The 15,649-nt window shown below is 44.9% G+C and overlaps 1 protein-coding gene across 50 annotated transcripts in view; it reads right to left on the bottom strand.

Moving 5' to 3' along the window:
• ANKRD6 (ankyrin repeat domain 6) overlaps positions 1-15,649 on the bottom strand; it is a 200,683-nt gene that overhangs the window by 32,705 nt on the left and 152,329 nt on the right. For 32 of the 50 annotated variants that reach the window (XM_047418408.1, XM_047418410.1, XM_047418412.1 and 29 more), the window contains one exon: positions 5,116-5,214. The exons of 6 other annotated variants lie outside the window; for them this stretch is intronic. Coding sequence is in view for 39 of the 44 variants with exons in the window: in NM_001242809.2 (NP_001229738.1) it covers positions 5,116-5,214 (99 nt within the window). In the remaining 5 variants the exon portion in view is untranslated. Of the gene's footprint in view, positions 1-2,698; positions 3,038-5,115; positions 5,215-15,649 lie in introns of those variants that run through there. 12 more of the 50 variants (XM_005248679.4, XM_047418397.1, XM_017010493.2 and 9 more) reach the window with 1 other exon arrangement.

Here is a 15,649-nt window from a genome sequence, read left to right as displayed (position 1 = left end):
GTCTACCTCAGACCTCTTAGAAAGCAGTTCTAGACAAGGAAACTAGTAATCATATGAGATACTGCCCAAGTCTCAACTTTTTGTTTTTGTTTAGAGACAGAGTCTCGCCCTGTCGCCCAGGCTGGAGTGCAGTGGTGCCATCTTGGTTCACTGCAACCTCTGCCTCCCAGGTTCAAGCGATTCTTCTGCCTCAGCCTCCAGAGTAGCTGGGATTACAGACACTTGCCACCATGCCTAATTTTTTTTTTATATTTTTAGTAGACATAAGGTGTCACCATGTTGGCCAGGCTGGACTTGAACTCCTGGCCTCAAGTGATCTGCCCACCTCCACCTCCCAAAGTGTTGGGATTACAGGCGCGAGCCACCGTGCCTGGCCCCACGTCTCAACTTTTTAAAATTTCCGTAAGATTTCCAAGACTTCCCATTTCTCTATCAGAATGGTGACGGAATTTCCCAAAATAGGCCTCCAGTGCAATGATGATTACTGACCTGCTAAGAAAGACAGTGCCCTTCTTAGCAAGAACCACGCGACTGCAGCTCACGCTTTCAGGGTAGTGCTGACTTGGTTAGATTTCCACTTCTTACAGGCTTTTTAATATAACCACAAACTACTTACACTCTAGTGCTCTTTGGACCAATAAAAACAACTTTTTCCAGGACAAAGCTTATCACTCTGTATTGTTCATGAAGTATGAGCAACAAGCCCTGAGCATATGGGTCGTGTTAGCCACTCTTGCTGTACAAATTATTTCACGAAGGGCCTTCACTGGATGGTACGGCACAGACTAACCTAAGCCTTGGTTTAGGTCAAATATTTTTTGTCATGTTTCACAAGCTGCCCTCTAAATTATGAGTTGAGGTATCTTTGGAGCCGGAATGGCACCAAGTTATTTATTACTTGCTTTCATCATCAATCTACTGTATTTGCTTCCTTTGAGAAAATTTTCCTTTGTGAAACTCTAGCTCAATGCAAGCAGCTCAATCTAACTTTCAGTTCAGACCTTGGGAGGACATTTCCAGACTAGCAAGACTCAAGGAAATCTAATGACTTGTGTGAGGTTGCGGCGAGAACACATAGTGTCCTAAGCTGCTGGCAAAGGTCCTGCACACCCCTTCCTCTGGGGGACCTTTTGGCTGTCCTGCCTGTTTCCAGGCCACAGCTCCCCCTCCAGCCGTCCTCTCAGACAGAGACCTCACCGAGAGCCCGGGTCAGATAAACACTGCTGTCAGGCCAGGCTCGGACTCTCCCTACCAAAAGTGGCTGTCCTTGGCTGTACTGCTAGCTGTGCTGACACTAGCTGGAATGGTTCTGGAGGACTGGGCAATACGCTTTCTCAGGCTTTGAAAAACCCACCCTTCTCAAGTAACCAAGATGAGAATTAAAGGCTCTGAGGTGAGAGACATGAAACATGTAAACAATAGCTGCCTCAGGTTATCATCTTGGATCTATTCTTCCCTAGAATACAACACAAACAATTTAGTACCTTGAGGCCCTCAGTTGAAACAGGGTCAGTTATCTACAAATGGACTCTTTCCTCCTATAAGATTAAAATTTACCATTGAAACATTTCCTCCTTGAAATGACACGAAGAAACAAGATGTGGCCTCAATACATACAAGTGGCTACTTTGACATAATTCTTACTTGCATATGATACCTACCTAAGTCAATCATGAAATTCTTAAATGCTGGGAAAAGGTAGAGCACTCTCAACAGTGTTTACTGAATTATCTATTTGGTGAACATCCACTCATTTTGAGACAGGGTCTCACTCTGTCACCTATGCTAGAGTGCAGTGGCATGATCTCAGCTCACTGCAACCTCCACCTCCCAGGCTCAATCAATCTTCCCACTTCAGCCTCCTGAGTAGCTGGGACCACAGGCATTTGCCACCATGTCCAGCTAATTTTTTTATTTTTTGTAGAGATGGAGTTTTGCCATGTTGCCCAGGCTGGTCTCCAACTCCTGGGTTCAAGCAATCCTTCCTCCATAGCCACGCAAAGCACTGGGATTACAGGTGTGAGCCACCAGGCCCGGACTGAATATTTATTGACTCCCTACTGTGTGCCAAGTCTAATTCTCTCATTTTATTGATGTCTAATTCTCTCATTTTATTGATAAGCCTAGGACAGCATGCTTGGACCAGAAATCAAATTGTCAAGGCTCTTTGCACTCACCCCAAGCTGCTTCCAACCTGTGAAGTCATTAACCTTAGGACGAGCCTCAGAAAAGGTCAGATGCATCTGTGGGGTTGGGACTGCCTCTTTCATAAAGTAAAGCATAGCCACTAGAGCTGCCCCAAAAGCATTTGTTGAATGATTAACTACAAGAAGCAGAAGGAAAGATGCTGTAGCTGGAAACCTGAAGGGCCTGCAACCTTGCAGTTTGGCACTTTGATTTGGAACATGTTGACCCATTTGCGAAGTACGTGAACTGCCAGCTCTCAGTTTTTCTGAGACAGTGTTTCTCACTTTGGGATTTTAAGAGCTTTGGTGCCTATAAGGTCTAAATCTTTGTTTTGAAATACTGTTATTTTTCTTTCCTACATGGTGAAAAAGAGTGAGTGTAGTGTTGGCAGATTTCAGTCATGCAAGGGTGCAGTGTGCGCCTCTTCAAGAGGAAACACCCCCATGTGGCACAGGCAGACATACTGCAAGGAAGCTCAAGACAGGTTAGGTGTGTAAAGCAAGTTGCTGACCTCTTTTTCTCTCTCTGATCTTCTAGGGTCCTTCCTAACCTTCCCTCTGTGGTTTTTCTTATTTTTGTCTTCTTTCATGGCTTTCACTGTGGCCACAGCATCCTGGACTATTTCTGAGGCGGGAGCTATGTGATTGCTCATTGACCAATCAGAGATGGCATTAGCGCTCCAATGAGAGTTGACACGATTGGCAGGAAGCAAGAAAGAATTTGCTCCTGGAGTTGCATAATCTAAAGAACTGGTTTCCACAGGTTGAAATTCATAATAATCCCACTCCAGGCCACTGGAGGTCATTCTTCAACTAATTCTCAGTTCTTACCATGCCATAAAGATCAGTATCTGTAGAATATGAAGTTAGGAGTAAATTCTTCATATCATTAACATTCTCTGTTTCTACCCACCATCCAAGACAGGTAACTTCTGAGATTTTTTCAAATAACTGATCTCCTAGATTCTTTAAAGGACACACATCAAGAGTTTTCTTCCTTGATTTCTTGCATGTATTTCAAGGCTGGTCATCAACAGCATGGTAAATACACAGAGAACAGGCATGGATCATATTGCTGGCAAATGCATTTCTTCAGAACTAGTGAAGGTCAATTCTACCTTCTCCACTCCCAATTATTTCTTGTTGTTGTATTTTTATTTTAATTTATCTGGGAGAAGCAATATATGCATTGTCTCTCTAGGACAAGGAAAAGATGCAAGAAAATACCTTCAATAAATAAAAGGGACTCTCTCTGTCTAAAAGTAGAGCTGGCTTTTCTTCTGCTGACACGTCTCACTTTGGCTACCTAAGAAAATTCTTGCCTGTTTCACTTCCTACCTTGCCTGGTATAAACAGCAGCAGTTCTAGGAAATTAGCAAGGCTTTTGCTGCATGAGAACACAGTGATACTTAGAGCCCAGGATGTGAGGCAGGGGTGTCAAGTTGGAATGGGTTAGCATGCCTGGCATTTTGGCCTTGCCACTGTGGCAAGCAAAGCCTTTAATTATGCGAAGAGAAGACCAAATGCATCCCAACATGTTTGCACCAGTAATAACTCAATTCCCCACCTTTTCTGTGGCCAAAATCTTTTCTCTCTCCTTGTATTTTTGTTCCTGTCATCTAAGGATATGATATAGTTGAGAATGTTATGATGACCATAGTGCAGGAAAATAAAAAAGTATTATGACCTAAGGTAGAAATCAATGGCTTAAAGCTAAATCAACATTTTTTGAAAATAACATCTTTGATGACCCAGCAAGTTCCAGATATAACCAGAGATTTATGAAAGACACTGGATGGCCTTCTGCCCATGCATAAAACAGTCATAGTTATTTCTTTGCAAGTACTGTCCTTCTTACTGTGTGTTTGCCAAGTTTTATGACATTATACACAGACCCAAAGAAAACTAGAAGCACTTTAGTAAACCACACTGTAGCATATCTGAAGATGTGAAATTTGAATCACACTCTATAACTACAGTTATTAAAGGTGAATTTGGAAGAGGTTATAAGTGCAAACACTCCAACATTCTGTGTTCCCCATAAAAGTTCTTATTTCTTAGAGTTCTACTACATGAATTAGTGTTGCAACCATTTCTAAAAATAGTTTTCAACTGTATTATCAAAAGACCTTTTCCTAATAGCTGTTGGAGGACAATTTATATGGTCCTTTCTTAGAGAACCACCTTCTCCAAAGACCCAGTAGGGCAGCCCACTGTACTACGTGACTCCACCCCAGCCACTGCTGACTCACTCAGGATTGGCCACTTGATGCCAGAGGAGCCAATCAGAGTCCATCTCTAGATAACCTGAATGAATAGACTCAGAGCTGAGTTGGTTGATGGCCATGTCTCAATAATAGCATGGTGGCAGAGTAAACTCTTTCTGGAGGCCTCCTTTTTCTTAGATTCCATGAGATCTGTGTCTTCCCCCAACTCCCCAACTTGAATAGATCATTTTCCATGTCATATTCACTGACCAAGAGAAATTAAGATGAGAAAAAAATTAAGTTTTTAATCCCCATTTTTTCTCCAATGGTAAATTTGGTCATTGACACACATTTCCGGCAAGTCTTGCCCATACTCACTAATGTGCATGTGTGTGTCTCTTTATGCTGAGACAGGACACAGGCAAAAATCCCCTTTGAGGCATTTTGTACAATAGAGAGGAAGTGATCACTTGAATAATAGACAGGAAGTGAACCATGATGGAGAACCACCCCACACTCCCAAACTCTAACTTGCTACTGAGAATGGGCCTCAGAGCAGGTCTTCCAGAGGAAGTTCTTGCTGCCACAGAGACCAAGATGCAGCTAAAATGTGCTGCGAGAGCATCTACTACCCTCCCATCTCACAGCTTACACTTTGTGGATTTCTAGCCAGAAAACCTCCCCTGCCAACTCAGCCTGATAGAATGATGGCTTCTACTCACATCATCCTGGACATCAAGGTCGCAGCCAGCCTTCAGCAAGATCTGGACCACAGGAAGATGGCCCTTATTGGCAGCAAGATGCAGGGGAGTCCGGCCATGCTGTGAATGCAAAATGAACAATGATTTCGGAACAAGTCCTCAATGCTACTCCCTTGGGAGACAGAGGGCCTAGAGCAAGGTTTGCACAGGGGCTTTCGGATGATCACTCCCTCCTGCCCCTTTGGATTGGCAGGAGATTCTTATGGGTTAACCAAAATTCAAGTTTGTCTCAGTTAACCTTGGCTATTGTCATTGCAATCAATGAACACGATATGTTCAAAATGTGAAGATTTCCTTTAGTGCATTATTTCTACTCTCCACTCATCAGACTATCAAGTAGCAAAACGAGGGGTTTTGTGCCTTCTCTTAATTTCTCACTGGTGCTAATACTGAGGAATAATGAAGTGGCCATGATGAACCTGGGCAAGAGGTGGGAGAACAGCAAGATGTCATGGTCATCAGCCCCAGAGGAGTCCAGTTAGTAACAGGTGAAAATTAAAACTGTTGATTGAACTGATTAGGAAAGGTTCTTCCTTTTTTTTTTTTCTTTGAGACAGGGTCTGACTCTCTCACCCAGACTGCAGTGCAGCGACGCCATCTCGGCTCCCCACAACCTCTGCATCCTGGTTCACTTATTATTTACTCATCATCCTCTTGATGGGCACCCAGGCTAATGCCAGGCTAACCCAGGCTCAAGCGATTCTCCTGCCTCAGCCTCCCGAGTAGCTGGAATTACAGGTGCACACCACTACCACCTAGCTAATTTCTGTATTTCAAGTAGACAGGGTTTCACCATGTTGGCCAGGCTGGTCTTGAACTCCTGACCTCAAATGATCCACCCGCCTTGGCCTCCCGAAGTGCTAGGATTACAGGCATGAGCCACCATGACTGGCCGGTTCTTCCTCTTTTTAAAAAAAAATTCTACGCTGGGTGTAGTAGCTCACACTTGTAATCTCAGCATTTTGGGAGGCTGAAGTGGGAGGATCACTTGATGCCAGGGGTTTGCGATCAGCCTGGGCAACACAGCGAGACCCTATCTCTATAAAAACATTTTCTTTTTTAAAAATTAGCTGGGCACAGTGGCATGTGCCTGTAGTCCCAGCTACCTAGGAGGCTAAGGTGTGAGGATCACTTGAGCCCAGGAGGTCAAGGCTGCAGTGAACTGTGATTGTACCACTGCACTTCAGCCTGGGCAACAGAGCAAGACCCTGCCTTAAAAAACAAACAAACAAAAACACTAAACTGAAATTATGAAGTATTTCAACCACTAAAAAACATAAGTAATATTCTAAACTTCACATAACCACCAACCATTTCAAGAAAAAAAATAAATCATTGACATTCCTCGTGAACAACTCCCAGGTCTCATTTCTCTTCCATCCCCAGAGGTAACCACTCTCTCAAATTTGGTATTCATCACTCCTTTGCTTTTCATTATATTTTTTACTACATGTTTATAGTCAAAGACAATATATATAAACATTGTGTTGCTTGTTTCAAACCTTTGTTTTTTTTTTTCTTTGAGACAGGGTCTCACTCTGCTGCCCAGGCTGGAGTGCAATGGCATGATCATGGCTCACTGCAGCTTCAACCTTTTGGCTCAAGCGATCCTCCCACCTCAGTGTCCTGAGTAGCTGGGACCACAGGCATGTGTCACCATGCCCAGCCAATTTTTTCTATTTTTTTGTAGAGATGGGGTTTCACCATGTTGCTTAGGCTGGTCTTGAACTCCTGGGCTCAAGTGATCCGCCTGCCTCGGCCTCCCAAAGTGCTGAGATTGCAGGCGTTAGCCACTGTGCCTGGCCTAATAGTTTTCAACTATACAATATAATTTGGCATTTTTTGTCTAACCTTGTATTTTTGAGATTTGTTTTTCATGTTATTCATGTAGTTCTGGTTCACTTATTATTTACTCATCCTCCTCCTGATGGGCACCCAGGCTAATGCCAGGAGGTTGCAGAACACAGCGTGTTCCTCTCCTTGTGCACCTGAGTAGCCTTCTTAGCCCTGTTGCTGGGTCATAGAGAAGACCATTCGCTTCAAATGCTCTAAGCATGTCGGCTCCCAAGGTGCCACATCAAGGGTGACATCCAGAAGAAATAACACTTTTTGATGTGAATCAACTTCTATCTAGAGAACTGCCCTGCCAAACTCCAAATTCTCAAGCAAACATGTTTCCTTTGCTTTCCCCTACAAGTTTCACTGTGAAGAAACATTCAAACATCAATGAACCATGGCCCCACCCATGCTGAAGCATACCCCTAAGGTCTTCCCAAAGGCCTTTATTGATACTCTAGCAGGATACACATTAATGATTTCAAGAAAGCACCAGTTTGCCATGGGTAATGAGCCATGGAGGAAAACAGAGATAACAGACAATAAAGGATCTTAATTTCTCCCCATGAAATGTGACCAAAGCACTAGAATGATTCTGGAAAGAGGTCAGAGCTTACTTTAATCACTCCCCAAAAAAGTGGGCTATAAAAAGCCTTCAGAAAAAGGCAGCATCTGAGATGAAGAGTGACCTTTCTCTGACAGTGACTGTGCTCAGCCATGTGCTCCCTAACCTCGATTCTTCCAATGAAATCATAGCTGATCAGATAGAGTGGCATGACCAGGTTCCACTGGCTGGGCCTGGTCCCCAGCTTCATCTGTCACCACATATCCTTGTCAAGGACTTCTTGACATTGAGTATGTGCCCTTCACAAAGTTTCCTAAGACATTCTGAAACACAGGGGAGTTCATCACATGAGGACAGAGAAGTGTGTGCTATGAGGGAGGTGACAGCATGGTGGGACACAAGTGCTTCTGGGCAGCTGGAAAATACAGACCAGCAAGGAGAGAAGCTGCCTGGGGAGGCTGGAAAGAGGCCAACAGACCCAGGAGTACTTTTTAAAAAATTGAGATGGAGTCTCACTTTGTCACCCAGGCTGGAGTGCAGTGGCGCGATCTTGGCTCACTGCAACCTCTGCCTTCTAGGTTCAAGCAATCCTCTGGCCTCAGCCTCCCAAGTGGCTGGGACTACAGGTGCGTGCCACCATGCCCAGCTAATTTTTGTATTTTTAGTAGAGACGGGTTTCACCATGTTGGCCAGGCTGGTCTCAAGTGATCCTCCCACCTCAGCCTCCCAAAGTGCTGGGATTACAGGTGTGAGCCATGTGCCTGGCAACGTTTTTTTGTGTGTGTGTCTCAAGAGATCCTCCTGCTGTGCTTGGGGTCCCAGATGCATGAGTACCTCCTGATACTCTGACCATGGAATTCCCAGCTCCCAGAACCATGAGGAGCAAATGTCTGTTGTTTAAACTACTTACTCTATGTTACCTTGTTAGAGAGGCCAAATGGACTAGGACAGGTTCAAAGAAGATCACTTCTGGGAGGGCACTTTAGAAACTAAATTACCAACAGGATGGGCCTGGATTGGAGGCACCTTTCTAATCCAAAGTCAGTGAAGAACCGCCAGTGGAGAAATGAAAGGCCAGAGGTATCAGAGCTTAGTTTGAATCCCAGCTCTGACTAATAACACCTGTGTCATTTGGTGCTTAATCCCCCAAACTAAGCATTTTCTCATCTGTAAAATAGGAATAACCTCCACTGCCCACTCCACAGGCTTGAAATAAGGACACGAGGTAACGTCCATCATCTAGCATGGGTCTCCCTTCCCTCCAGCTGTCCTTAGCCCCCACCCCAGAGGACACCCCAACCACTCCCTCTGCTCTTCGACACCCTACACCTTTGCCTTCGCAAAGACCAGTGAGATATTTCCAATGTCAAACAGATTTGGGTGAAGAGTTGGATCTCTTCCAACCAGAAGGGCTATGGCTGGAGGGTCCAGGTACCCACCAGCCAGTCCTGGCCCTCTTGTCCACTTCCATTTTTGAAACGTAAACTGTGGTTCCCAGTCTCTGTGTCTCTTCTTGGAAGGGCATTCTTCACCAAGAACACCATTCTCCAAACTATGACTTCCCTGATTCTCCAGCAATGCTCCTGGCCTCGCACAGCACTCAGGCTCCCTGTCAGCAAGGAGGTGTGACATCCTGAGAGCTTCAGGAGCTGAGCTACAATGGTACAGGAGCTTTTCTGAGGAGGGGCTGTGTTCCCTGCACATTCTTGGCTCCTTTTCTGGCCTCTGATTAAAGTACAGCAATAGCAAAGGCAGTAATCGGTTTCCTATAGAAGCTGAAGCTGTCTCCTCCGTCCTGGGGCTTTCCTAGCACAAGGCCCACCCTCTTAAACACACACCACCTACCAAAGGAGAAAAGCAAGAAAGCAGCAGACATGTACTTGGTTTTCCAGAACATTCTGTAGTAAATAGCAACAAAAATAGAGCCCTTTGGAGAAGAGGCTGCCCCTATCCAGCACATAGGAATGCCCCCAGGCATGTCCGACTAATGGGAAAAGCTGGAACCCCTCTTAAGGGTGAAGGAGCAAATAAAAATTGATCCTTAGAGGCACCTTTGAATGACTTAGACTTAAGGATGCAACTGCTCTCATTTCCATTTCCATGCCCCTAGGACTGGCCACAGGAAGAAATGGGAACAGGAGAAAAGACCATGTATTAACGAATAAGAAGTTTGGGCCAGGCAAGGTGGTTCACGCCTGTAATCCCAGCACTTTGAGAGGCCAAGGCGGGTGGATCACTTGAGCCCAGGAGTTCTATAGCCTGGGCAACATGGCAAAATGTCATCTCTACCAAAAAATACAAAAATTAGCTGAGTGTTGTTTTGTGCGCCTGTAGTCCCAGCTACTCAGGAGGCTGAGGAGGCTGGATGGATGGAGCCCAGGAAATCAAGGCTGCAGTGAGCTGTGATCGCACCATTGCACTTCAGTCTGGGCAACAGAATAAGACCTTCTCCTTAAAAAAAGAAAGAAAAGAAAAAAAGGACGAAGTTTTAAAGCATCAATTTGCCCTGAGTCCTACCCCAGTTATCGTCAAAGATCAGTTCAGCTTAACTCAACCTAGGCCCTGGTGAGCCCAGCGAGACCAATAATTGGGCAGAGCAAGAGACAGCAGCGGCCAGAATTTATTGAACGCTTGGGTCCATTTATTGCGTAGAAGGCACTATCTTAAGAATTTTACACGTTAGCTAATTCTATCCTCCCAATTATCCTATGAGGTGGACACTATTATCGAACCCATTTTATAGATAAGGAAACTGAGGCTTGGGAGACTGTCACTTGTTCTAAGTTATACAGCAGCTAACTGGAGTCTGGATTCACCCCGTCAGCCATCTGAGCTCAGCCGCATGCTTTCCCTACCACTCTGTGTGCTGCCCTGGTTGTGTTGGGGGTAAGGGTAGGAGCAAAGTTCTTCTCTGGCAGAGCAGGGGCTTCATGTCTCACCCTTAGGAAGCTCAGCTCCCAAGTTCTTGGGTGTTTTACCTTAGCCCAGCCACTAACCTCTGGGGTTTGTTTAAAAATAACCTGATTTTTTTAGAATCTCAAGGACAAGGAGAGATGTTTTCTATTTTCTCTGCATCTGGCTCTCCTGGGGAGGTTGGTCTGTTGTCATTTCTCTGTATTGGTGTGTAAGCCTCTCCCTCCAGAGTCTCTCATCAACTCGCTGTGGTGAGGCCCAGGCAGTTTTTATACAACCTCCCCAGGTGACTCTAATGTGTGACCTTGTTGAGAACCACAGGATGGGATGAGGAGGGGCCAGGATAAACCCTCCCTGGACAGCTACAGGCACTTAGGCTAAACCCGCACTTCAGGCCTGCTCCAGCAAGGGCCATATCTCTTTTACATTCTTGTTGATGCTCTCATCAGCCTATCAATATAAAACACCTAAAATACTGCCTTGCCACAACCTACAGCTTCCCAGATCTTCAGAGTATATAAGCAATGTAATGACATTACTAAAAATATGGAAAAGAATATCCTCTATAATTCCACAACCCAATACAACTATTATCATTTTTATCCAATCATTTTCAGTGCATCTCCACGTGTGGCTGGAGGTTATCACCACTGCCTTTGACCCTTTAAAGGTGCTGCTTCCTCAAGGGGCCCTGGTATCAGGCTGGGCCATCTGAGGCCGGCAGGGGTGAGGAGAAGAGGCAGTATTCACCCTGACTTCCTGCATCTCCCTCTGATCCAATCAGGAAGAGGCACAGACTCAGGGCCTTGCTTCCAGGGAACCAAATCAAAGGGTCTTGAGATGTTGCGAAGCAACAACCACAAAAATGTGTCCCCACTGTCCACACCACTGGGGCACTGACTGGGATGATGATTTGTTCAGGCTGAGCCCTGTGGATCTAACTCCAGCATAACTGCTGCATGGGAACATCAGAGTGACTCCCATTCCAGCAGGCAATAAATTACATGAACAAGTGATCACAATGATGCCTAGAATGAAACAGTCTCTGCTATTCACTCTGAAGAGGCCAATTCCCAGTTGGGAGTGGGAATCTTCCAGGAGAAGAATTCCCGTTAAGATAATGATCTCCCGCCAGTGAGGATGACAAGGGAGCCCAGCCAAAGGTAATCCACTTAAAAGAAACCCTGAAAGGAAGTGGAGGTGTTTTTGTTCCCAGCAGGTGTCAGACTGGTGCTCAGCCTCCTTCCTGGATTCTCCAGGTAGACCAAGGCGTTATGTCAGAAAACCCTTCCTAGGAGGGGCCAGGACCCTCGGAAGGAGGCGAACCAGAGCCATTTGAGAACTACAACCTACAGAAACAAGCCAGTCAACTGCCCCTGTCACTGACTGCACGGGGCCTGGGAGCCCAGGGCCATGACCCTGGTCCCTCATCACTCCAGCCAGGACGCAGGTTGGGTCCCAGCTCCTCGCTCCTGCTTCAGTATCTTGGACCCTACTTACTAAAGGGCAGGCCTTTCAGACCAACAGTACCTGTCCCAGGAATGACAGGTCTAACAGAGCAGACCTGGACAAGACCCGTCCCAACAGAATGCACCTGAAAAGTGAGAAGGAAAGGTGTGGTGCTTAGCCATTCCTGGAACACCTTTTTTTTTTTTTTTTTTTTTTTTGAGACAGAGTCTCGCTCTGTCTCACCCAGGCTGGAGTGCAGTGGCGCAATCTCAGCTCACTGCAGCCTCTGCCTCCTGGGTTCAAGCGATTCTCCTGCCTCAGCTGGGACTACAGGCGTGCACCACCACACCCAGCTAATTTTATATTTTTAGTAGAGACAGGGTTTCACCATGTTGGCCATGCTGGTCTCGAACTCCTGACCTCAGGTGATCCACCTGCCTTGGCCTCCCAAAATGCTGGAATTAGAGGCGTGAGCCACCGTGCCTGGTCTCAATGATATTCTTATGACCAGAGTCAAAAGGAGACCTGGGGCAGAAGCCAAAGGAATAAAAGGGCAGAAAATCTGAAGGAAGGGAGTAGGGAAAGGTTGTATAAAGGAATTGAGACTCATTGGCTCAAACAATAAAACAATTTAACCATCTCTACTGGGGACTGTAACAAGGAGGGCAGCTGCATGCTGTGACCCAGACAAGGAGAAATGGTGTAATGGGAAGAATTTAGGTTAAATTAGTGTAATCATTTCATAAAGCTTCTTTTCTTCAAGAGACCATGAGAAATACATTGGATCAGGGTCATGCAGTCTTTTTTGAGTCAAGCCTTTTTTGAGTCAGTCTGCCTATATTATCTGTCGCATTAAGAGAGAGGTAGTAGGAGGCAAGAAAGTTGTAACATTACTAAAATAAGAGTGGCGCATATTTTACAAACATGATATTCAGAATGGGAAGAGTCTTTGAGAGTTTCATTTGGCTGAAGAGATGAAATGAATTCTCAATACCTCCAATCTTATTTCTGGCAGAACTGCAAGAACTGCAAGGTGGAATTCTGGCCACCTGGCTCCTCGTTTAGATTTTAAAAAGTGGAAGACTCCACCAACTTTTCTAAGTGCCCCAAGGGTCCTCTTATCATAGATGGTGTTCCCTGAGAGCTTCAACAGCCTGGAATGGTGTAAATTTGGGTCAGAAAAGTTCAAAGTCCTTCTCAGGCTTATGATTCAATGAAGACAAAGTTATGAAGACATTCAAGAAAAAAATGGAACACATTCGAGAAAAAAATTGAAAAAGTACCATCGATCAAAGAAAATAAAACTTTACATTTAAAAACAATTTATAATTTAAGAAGCTTTCAGAGTTTTCTTTCCTTGTTGCAAATATATTTTATCTACTAGTCTACTTACATGAGTGACACATCATATCTTAATCAGACAATAGTTGACAAGAAACGGCAAGGGAATAAATTCCTTGGCTGACACAAATCAGGATCCAAAACAATCTCAGATTGGAATAGGCTAATTTTAAAAAGATAAAATGTAATGGGGGCAGAGGGTAATTCCTGCACTGGGGGCCAACAGTCCCATCACACAAGGATGGAAGTATTAGGATGGCCCTGTAAAATAATAATAATCATAAATGATATGGAGAGGTGATTTGAAATGTATATTGTTAGGAATCAGTTATTCCTAACAATTGGGTTTAATTGATAAGAGAATTCCTTTTTTGTTTGTTTTTTGAGATGAAGTCTCGCTCTGTCGCCAGACTGGAGGGCAGTGGCACCATCCTGGCTCACTGCAACCTCCACCTCCCGGGTTCAAGCGATTCTCCTGCCTCAGCCTCCCATGTAGCTAGGACTACAGGCATGCGCCACCACTCCCGGCTAATTTTTGTATTTTTAGTAGAGACAGGGTTTCACCATTTTGGCCAGGAGGGTCTTGATCTCTTGACCTCATGATCTGCCTGCCTCGGCCTCCCGAAGTGTTGGGATTACAGGCGTGAGGCACTGCACCCAGCCTTTTTTTTTTTTTTTTTTGAGACGGAGTTTCACTCTGTCGCCCAGGCTAGAGTGCAGTGGCATGATCTCAACTCACTGCAACCTATGCCTCCCAGGTTCAAGAAATTCTCCTGCCTTAGCCTCCCAAGTAGCTGAGATTACAGGTGCCCACCACCATGCCCCGCTAGTTTTTTTGTATTTTTAGTAGAGGTGGGGTTTCACCATGTTGGCCAGGCTGGTTTTGAACTCCTGACCTTAAGTGATCCACCCACCTCAGCCTCCCAAAGTGCTAGGATTTTAACCATGAGCCACTGTGCCCGGCCAAGAATTCCTTTTGAGGTAACTCAGTAATTGCTAGGGTTGGGCTTCCTTCTATAAAGATCCACCAAAAAGAAGGACCAAAATATTTCAGGCAACTTAACTGGGTATTAAGAATTCCATCAGCTTCTACAGTACACTTGTCCCTGAGTGGTAAGACATCAGTTAATGGCCCACACACTCCTCACAGGTGGCAGCCCAGACTACATTTTCTTTTTTTCTCCCCCAAGACAGTCTTGCTTTGTGGACCAGGCTAGAGTGCAGTAGCATGATCTCAGCTCACTGCAACCTCTACCTCCCGGGTTCAAATGATTCTCCTGCCTCAGCCTCCCGAGTAGCTGGGATTACAGGCATGTGACACCACGCCCTGCTAACTTTTGTATTCTTAGTAGAGACAGGGTTTCACCATGTTGGCCAGGCTGGTCTCGAACTCTTGACCTTGTGATCCGCCCGCCTCGGCCTCCCAAAGTGCTGGGATTACAGGTGTGAGCCACTACGCCTGGCCAGACTACATTTTCAATGGGTTGACGCTGACAGAGCACAGCACGGTAGGCCAATACATGATGAACTATGGTTGGATATAAGGACTGTTCTTGCTTCTCTTCTGGTTTCTAACAAAAACCAGAAAACAAGAATCACTGCCTTTTCAGGAACTGTTAATATAATCATGTGTTTTTCTCTTTTAATTTGTTGGTATAACAAATTATGGAACAATCCTTGCATTCCTGGAACCCACCTGATCACACTGTATTATTATTCTCATAAATGCTGCATTCTATTAGGTAATGTTATAAAGAATTTTAAAAATCAACATTCATAATTGAGATTGGTGTTTCTTGTTCTTATTGATCTGTTTTTGACATTAAGGTTGTGCTGACTACATGAAAAAGTACAGCTTTCTATTTTGTTCTGTGCTTTACAATAATTTAAACATTGGATTTTTTCTTGTTGATAAAATATAAAACAGGACCATGAAACCATCTGGCCCTAGTGCTTTCTTTTTTTGTGAGACAGAGTCTCGCTCTGTCACCCAGGCTGGAGTGCAGTGGCACAATCTCGGCTCACTGCAACCTCCGCCTCCAGGGTTCAAACAATTCTGCCTCAGCCTCCTGAGTAGCTGGGACTACAGGCACACATCATCAAGCTCGGTTAATTTTTGTATTTTTTTAGAGACAGGGTTTCACCATATTGGCCAGGCTGGTCTCAAACCCCTGGCCTCAAGTGATCCACCCGCCTTGGCCTCCCAAAGTGCTGGGATTACAGGCGTGAGCCATCACATCTGGCCGGCCCTAGTACTTTCTAAAACTTGCATCTCTAATCGTGTTTCCAATATTTCCTATGCTAATTAGACTAAGTTTTCTGCTTATTCTTGGGCCCATTTTTTGTGATTTATAAATTTGTGGTCAAATATGCATATACATAAAATCTACC

Source organism: Homo sapiens, chromosome 6 (genome assembly GCF_000001405.40).
Source record: "Homo sapiens chromosome 6, GRCh38.p14 Primary Assembly".
Taxonomy (NCBI): Eukaryota; Metazoa; Chordata; class Mammalia; order Primates; family Hominidae; genus Homo; species Homo sapiens.
Note: the sequence above shows the minus strand (reverse complement) of the source record. Positions and strands in the feature narration are given on the sequence as shown.